The sequence below is a fragment of the Homo sapiens genome, chromosome 13, assembly GCF_000001405.40.
Source record: "Homo sapiens chromosome 13, GRCh38.p14 Primary Assembly".
Classification (NCBI taxonomy): domain Eukaryota; kingdom Metazoa; phylum Chordata; class Mammalia; order Primates; family Hominidae; genus Homo; species Homo sapiens.
The window spans coordinates 100,697,680-100,705,293 of record NC_000013.11 but is presented as its reverse complement, the minus strand read 5'-3'; the positions used below and the strand labels follow the sequence as shown (position 1 = coordinate 100,705,293).

General features: G+C 40.2%; 1 annotated feature.

The window, feature by feature from the left end:
- Positions 6,422-7,002: an enhancer, noted in NCBI's record as "H3K27ac-H3K4me1 hESC enhancer chr13:101350546-101351126 (GRCh37/hg19 assembly coordinates)". NCBI's record gives its function as "activates a minimal SCP1, AML or CMV promoter by ChIP-STARR-seq in naive H9 embryonic stem cells {active_cell/tissue: H9 hESC(naive)}" and the evidence as "EXISTENCE:reporter gene assay evidence [ECO:0000049][PMID:30033119]".

Sequence of the window (7,614 nt, the reverse complement as noted above, 5' to 3'; positions counted from 1 at the left end):
GAAGCTTTGCATAGAGGATTTTTTCAATCCAAATATTGACTTTCTCTTCTGGATTAATGTGGGATAAAATAAAAACATTAGATGCAGAAGAAGATGGCTGTAAGAACATGTATCCCTGATAATTCAGTGGAAGTCAATCTGTTCTCTAACATTGATAAATAAATATAAATAAAATGGTATTTTCTTAACTTACAGAAAGTCATTATAAATAATATAAGTAGAAGTATATAAAATAGGGGATCCTAGGGAGTGGAACTGGATATCAGGCTGCTACAGATGACATACGAATTAAAAAATTTTCAATGTTTTATTTGAAATATTTTTGAAAACAAAATTAAGCTTTTCTTGCCTATTAGAAAAATCATATATGGTGATAAAACCTGTTTGGGCAAAACATTGAGAAATGAGATTTTATGTACTATTGAAGGAAATATAAATGGGTATAACCTTTCTAGAAATGTTTTATAAAATGTTTGCATATTCTTAGCAATCCTACATCATCAATTTACCTTAAGATGATAATTTTAAAAACTGGAAAATATAAGCATAAAAATGTTCAGCACTGTTTATAATGATGAAAAATCAGAAGGAACCTAATGCCCCTTGATAGAGAGCTAATTAAGTAAATTATGTTACAGACAATGTGATAGTCTCCAAACATCATAAGTGATTTTTAGATTTAGATTTATCAAAATGAAAAGATGTCCATGACAGATTGAGTAATGATGCTGATTACAGAACATGTATAGTATACTTTTAGAGAAAACTGTGCACATATACTTAATGTGCCTGAATGCACCAACGTAGTCATCAGTGTGAAGTAGAATTTCTAGTGTTTTCTTTCTTTATTTTCTGCTTTATTTTTTCCAATAGGTAGCATTTTCAAACATAAAACTAAGTTTAAACATAGCTATGAAAACAATAACAGTATTTGCAACAACTTGAGGTTAAACCTAGGCTTTTTGTATATCAACTACTCAGAAAAGATGAAAATATCTCTGTATTTTATAAAATGAAGACCATAAAAATAATACAAAGTGTACTTTGGCAATTGTCAAAAACAAAACAAACCAAACAAAACAGAAATTGTGGCCTCTTCTCTTCTGAATGAGGTCATTCTACCCAATTTTCTTTATTATTATTATTATTATTATTATTACTATTATTATTATTATTTTTTAATTATACTTTAAGTTTTAGGGTACATGTGCACATTGTGCAGGTTAGTTACATATGTATACATGTGCCATGCTGGTGCGCTGCACCCACTAACTCGTCATCTAGCATTAGGTATATCTCCCAATGCTATCCCTCCCCACTCCCCCCTCCCCACCACAGTCCCCAGAGTGTGATATTCCCCTTCCTGTGTCCATGTGATCTCGTTGTTCAATTCCCACCTATGAGTGAGAATATGCGGTGTTTGGTTTTTTGTTCTTGCGATAGTTTACTGAGAATGATGGTTTCCAATTTCATCCATGTCCCTACAAAGGACATGAACTCATCATTTTTTATGGCTGCATAGTATTCCATGGTGTATATGTGCCACATTTTCTTAATCCAGTCTATCATTGTTGGACATTTAGGTTGGTTCCAAGTCTTTGCTATTGTGAATAATGCCGCAATAAACATACGTGTGCATGTGTCTTTATAGCAGCATGATTTATAGTCATTTGGGTATATACCCAGTAATGGGATGGCTGGGTCAAATGGTATTTCTAGTTCTAGATCCCTGAGGAATCGCCACACTGACTTCCACAATGGTTGAACTAGTTTACAGTCCCACCAACAGTGTAAAAGTGTTCCTATTTCTCCACATCCTCTCCAGCACCTGTTGTTTCCTGACTTTTTAATGATTGCCATTCTAACTGGTGTGAGATGATATCTCATGGTGGTTTTGATTTTCATTTCTCTGATGGCCAGTGATGATGAGCATTTTTTCATGTGTTTTTTGGCTGCATAAATGTCTTCTTTTGAGAAGTGTCTGTTCATGTCCCTTGCCCAATTTTTGATGGGGTTGTTTGTTTTTTTCTTGTAAATTTTTTTGAGTTCATTGTAGATTCTGGATATTAGCCCTTTGTCAGATGAGTAGGTTGTGAAAATTTTCTCCCATGTTGTAGGTTGCCTGTTCACTCTGATGGTAGTTTCTTTTGCTGTGCAGAAGCTCTTTAGTTTAATTAGATCCCATTTATCAATTTTGGCTTTGGTTGCCATTGCTTTTGGTGTTTTGGACATGAAGTCCTTGCCCATGCCTATGTCCTGAATGGTAATGCCTAGGTTTCCTTCTAGGGTTTTTATGGTTTTAGGTCTAACGTTTAAATCTTTAATCCATCTTGAATTGATTTTTGTATAAGGTGTAAGGAAGGGATCCAGTTTCAGCTTTCTACATATGGCTAGCCAGTTTTCCCAGCACCATTTATTAAATAGGGAATCCTTTCCCCATTGCTTGTTTTTCTCAGATTTGTCAAAGATCAGATAGTTGTAGGTATGCGGCGTTATTTCTGAGGGCTCTGTTCTGTTCCATTGATCTATATCTCTGTTTTGGTACCAGTACCATGCTGTTTTGGTTACTGTAGCCTTGTAGTATAGTTTGAAGTCAGGTAGTGTGATGCCTCCAGCTTTGTTCTTTTGGCTTAGGATTGACTTGGCGATGCGGGCTCTTTTTTGGTTCCATATGAACTTTAAAGTAGTTTTTTCCAATTCTGTGAAGAAAGTCATTGGTAGCTTGATGGGGATGGCATTGAATCTATAAATTACCTTGGGCAGTATGGCCATTTTCACGATATTGATTCTTCCTACCCATGAGCATGGAATGTTCTTCCATTTGTTTGTATCCTCTTTTATTTCCTTGAGCAGTGGTTTGTAGTTCTCCTTGAAGAGGTCCTTCACATCCCTCGTAAGTTGGATTCCTAGGTATTTTATTCTCTTTGAAGCAATTGTGAATGGGAGTTCACTCATGATTTGGCTCTCTGTTTGTCTGTTGTTGGTGTATAGGAATGCTTGTGATTTTTGTACATTGATTTTGTATCCTGAGACTTTGCTGAAGTTGCTTATCAGCTTAAGGAGATTTGGGGCTGAGATGATGGGGTTTTCTAGATAAACAATCATGTCGTCTGCAAACAGGGACAATTTGACTTCCTCTTTTCCTAATTGAATACCCTTTATTTCCTTCTCCTGCCTGATTGCCCTGGCCAGAACTTCCAACACTATGTTGAATAGGAGTGGTGAGAGAGGGCATCCCTGTCTTGTGCCAGTTTTCAAAGGGAATGCTTCCAGTTTTTGCCCATTCAGTATGATATTGGCTGTGGGTTTGTCATAGATAGCTCTTATTATTTTGAAATACGTCCCATCAATACCTAATTTATTGAGAGTTTTTAGCATGAAGGGTTGTTGAATTTTGTCAAAGGCTTTTTCTGCATCTATTGTGATAATCATGTGGTTTTTGTCTTTGGCTCTGTTTATATGCTGGATTATATTTATTGATTTGCGTATATTGAACCAGCCTTGCATCCCAGGGATGAAGCCCACTTGATCATGGTGGATAAGCTTTTTGATGTGCTGCTGGATTCGGTTTGCCAGTATTTTATTGAGGATTTTTGCATCAATGTTCATCAAGGATATTGGTCTAAAATTCTCTTTTTTGGCTGTGTCTCTGCCCAGCTTTGGTATCAGAATGATGCTGGCATCATAAAATGAGTTAGGGTGGATTCCCTCTTTTTCTATTGATTGGAATAGTTTCAGAAGGAATGGTACCAGTTCCTCCTTGTACCTCTGGTAGAATTCGGCTGTGAATCCATCTGGTCCTGGACTCTTTTTGGTTGGTAAACTATTGATTATTGCCACAATTTCAGCTCCTGTTATTGGTCTATTCAGAGATTCAACTTCTTCCTGGTTTAGTCTTGGGAGAGTGTATGTGTCGAGGAATTTATCCATTTCTTCTAGATTTTCTAGTTTATTTGCGTAGAGGTGTTTGTAGTATTCTCTGATGGTAGTTTGTATTTCTGTGGGATCGGTGGTGATATCCCCTTTATCATTTTTTATTGTGTCTATTTGATTCTTCTCTCTTTTTTTCTTTATTAGTCTTGCTAGCGGTCTATCAATTTTGTTGATCCTTTCAAAAAACCAGCTCCTGGATTCATTGATCTTTTGAAGGGTTTTTTGTGTCTCTATTTCCTTCAGTTCTGTTCTGATCTTAGTTATTTCTTGCCTTCTGCTAGCTTTTGAATGTGTTTGCTCTTGCTTCTCTAGTTCTTTTAATTGTGATGTTAGGGTGTCAATTTTGGATCTTTCCCGCTTTCTCTTGTGGGCATTTAGTGCTATAAATTTCCCTCTACACACTGCTTTGAATGCGTCCCAGAGATTCTGGTGTGTTGTGTCTTTGTTCTCGTTGGTTTCAAAGAACATCTTTATTTCTGCCTTCATTTCGTTATGTACCCAGTAGTCATTCAGGAGCAAGTTGTTCAGTTTCCATGTAGTTGAGCGGCTTTGAGTGAGATTCTTAATCCTGAGTTCTAGTTTGATTGCACTGTGGTCTGAGAGATAGTTTGTTATAATTTCTGTTCTTTTACATTGGCTGAGGAGAGCTTTACTTCCAACTATGTGGTCAATTTTGGAATAGGTGTGGTGTGGTGCTGAAAAAAATGTGTATTCTGTTGATTTGGGGTGGAGAGTTCTGTAGATGTCTATTAGGCCCACTTGGTGCAGAGCTGAGTTCAATTCCTGGGTATCCTTGTTGACTTTCTGTCTCGTTGATCTGTCTAAAGTTGACAGTGGGGTGTTAAAGTCTCCCATTATTAATGTGTGGGAGTCTAAGTCTCTTTGTAGGTCACTCAGGACTTGCTTTATGAATCTGGGTGCTCCTGTATTGGGTGCATATATATTTAGGATAGTTAGCTCCTCTTGTTGAATTGATCCCTTTACCATTATGTAATGGCCTTCTTTGTCTCTTTTGATCTTTATTGGTTTAAAGTCTGTTTTATCAGAGACTAGGATTGCAACCCCTGCCTTTTTTTGTTTTCCATTTGCTTGGGAGATCTTCATCCATCCTTTTATTTTGAGCCTATGTGTGTCTCTGCACGTGAGATGGGTTTCCTGAATACAGCACACTGATGGGTCTTGACTCTTCATCCAACTTGCCAGTCTGTGTCTTTTAATTGGAGAATTTAGTCCATTTACATTTAAAGTTAATATTGTTATGTGTGAATTTGATCCTGTCATTATGATGTTAGCTGGTGATTTTGCTCGTTAGTTGATGCAGTTTCTTCCTAGTCTCGATGGTCTTTACATTTTGGCATGATTTTGCAGCGGCTGGTACCGGTTGTTCCTTTCCATGTTTAGCGCTTCCTTCAGGAGCTCTTTTAGGGCAGGCCTGGTGGTGACAAAATCTCTCAGCATTTGCTTGTCTGTAAAGTATTTTATTTCTCCTTCACTTATGAAGCTTAGTTTGGCTGGATATGAAATTCTGGGTTGAAAATTCTTTTCTTTAAGAATGTTGAATATTGGCCCCCACTCTCTTCTGGCTTGTAGGGTTTCTGCCGAGAGATGCGCTGTTAGTCTGATGGGCTTCCCTTTGAGGGTAATCCGACCTTTCTCTCTGGCTGCCCTTAACATTTTGTCCTTCATTTCAACTTTGGTGAATCTGACAATTATGTGTCTTGGAGTTGCTCTTCTCGAGGAGTATCTTTGTGGCGTTCTCTGTATTTCCTGAATCTGAACGTTGGCCTGCCTTGCTAGATTGGGGAAGTTCTCCTGGATAATATCCTGCAGAGTGTTTTCCAACTTGGTTCCATTCTCCCCATCACTTTCAGGTACACCAATCAGACGTAGATTTGGTCTTTTCACATAGTCCCATATTTCTTGGAGGCTTTGCTCATTTCTTTTTATTATTTTTTCTCTAAACTTCCCTTCTCACTTCATTTCATTCATTTCATCCTCCATTGCTGATACCCTTTCTTCCAGTTGATCGCATCGGCTCCTGAGGCTTCTGCATTCTTCACGTAGTTCTCGAGCCTTGGTTTTCAGCTCCATCAGCTCCTTTAAGCACTTCTCTGTATTGGTTATTCTAGTTATACATTCTTCTAAATTTTTTTCAAAGTTTTCAACTTCTTTGCCTTTGGTTTGAATGTCCTCCCGTAGCTCAGAGTAATTTGATCGTCTGAAGCCTTCCTCTCTCAGCTCGTCAAAATCATTCTCCATCCAGCTTTGTTCCGTTGCTGGTGAGGAACTGTGTTCCTTTGGAGGAGGAGAGGCGCTCTGCGTTTTAGAGTTTCCAGTTTTTCTGTTCTGTTTTTTCCCCATCTTTGTGGTTTTATCTACTTTTGGTCTTTGATGATGGTGATGTACAGATGGGTTTTTGGTGTGGATGTCCTTTCTGTTTGTTAGTTTTCCTTCTAACAGACAGGACCCTCAGCTGCAGGTCTGTTGGAATACCCTGCCGTGTGAGGTGTCAGTGTGCCCCTGCTGGGGGGTGCCTCCCAGTTAGGCTGCTCGGGGGTCAGGGGTCAGGGACCCACTTGAGGAGGCAGTCTGCCCATTCTCAGATCTCCAGCTGCGTTCTGGGAGAACCACTGCTCTCTTCAAAGCTGTCAGACAGGGACACTTAAGTCTGCAGAGGTTACTGCTGTCTTTTGGTTTGTCTGTGCCCTGCCCCCAGAGGTGGAGCCTACAGAGGCAGGCAGGCCTCCTTGAGCTGTGGTGGGCTCCACCCAGTTTGAGCTTCCCGGCTGCTTTGTTTACCTAAGCACGCCTGGGCAATGGCGGGCGCCCCTCCCCCAGCCTCGCTGCTGCCTTGCAGTTTGATCTTAGACTGCTGTGCTAGCAATCAGCGAGATTGCTAGCACAGTCAGTGGGCGTAGGACCCTCCGAGCCAGGTGTGGGATATAGTCTCGTGGTGCGCCGTTTTTTAAGCCGGTCTGAAAAGCGCAATATTTGGGTGGGAGTGACCCGATTTTCCAGGTGCGTCCGTCACCCCTTTCTTTGACTCGGAAAGGGAACTCCCTGACCCCTTGCGCTTCCCAGGTGAGGCAATGCCTCGCCCTGCTTCGGCTCACGCATGGTGCGCGCACACACTGGCCTGCGCCCACTGTCTGGCACTCCCTAGTAAGATGAACCCAGTACCTCAGATGGAAATGCAGAAATCACCCGTCTTCTGCGTCGCTCACGCTGGGAGCTGTAGACCGGAGCTGTTCCTATTCGGCCATCTTGGCTCCTCCCCCCGACTCTACCCAATTTTCTTAAATGGTTTTGCAGAAATAAGAACAGCACCATTCTAGGCAGAAGGCCAGAGTTGTCACATCAAGAAAAGAAAAAGGAAGAGTCACTTACCTCGGGGGTGACTTATAGTGAGAGAAAAACAGGCAAAGGAAAATGTTACTGAACATTATAACCGGTTGAGCCATTTTATCAGCCTGGGAAACAACCAAGGTCAGATCATTTTTCTAATTTCTTGTTTGAGCCCCTGCCTGTGCTATTTATCAAAAATTTCATTATATGCCTCTTGAAACCTTCATTATACCTGCCATCTCAGTGCCAAGAATTCCAAGTTCAATTGCTCAGCCCCAAAGGAGCAGGCAGAGGAAAAGCTCAGCTGTGCAGACAGAACCCAGCACCATTGCTCAG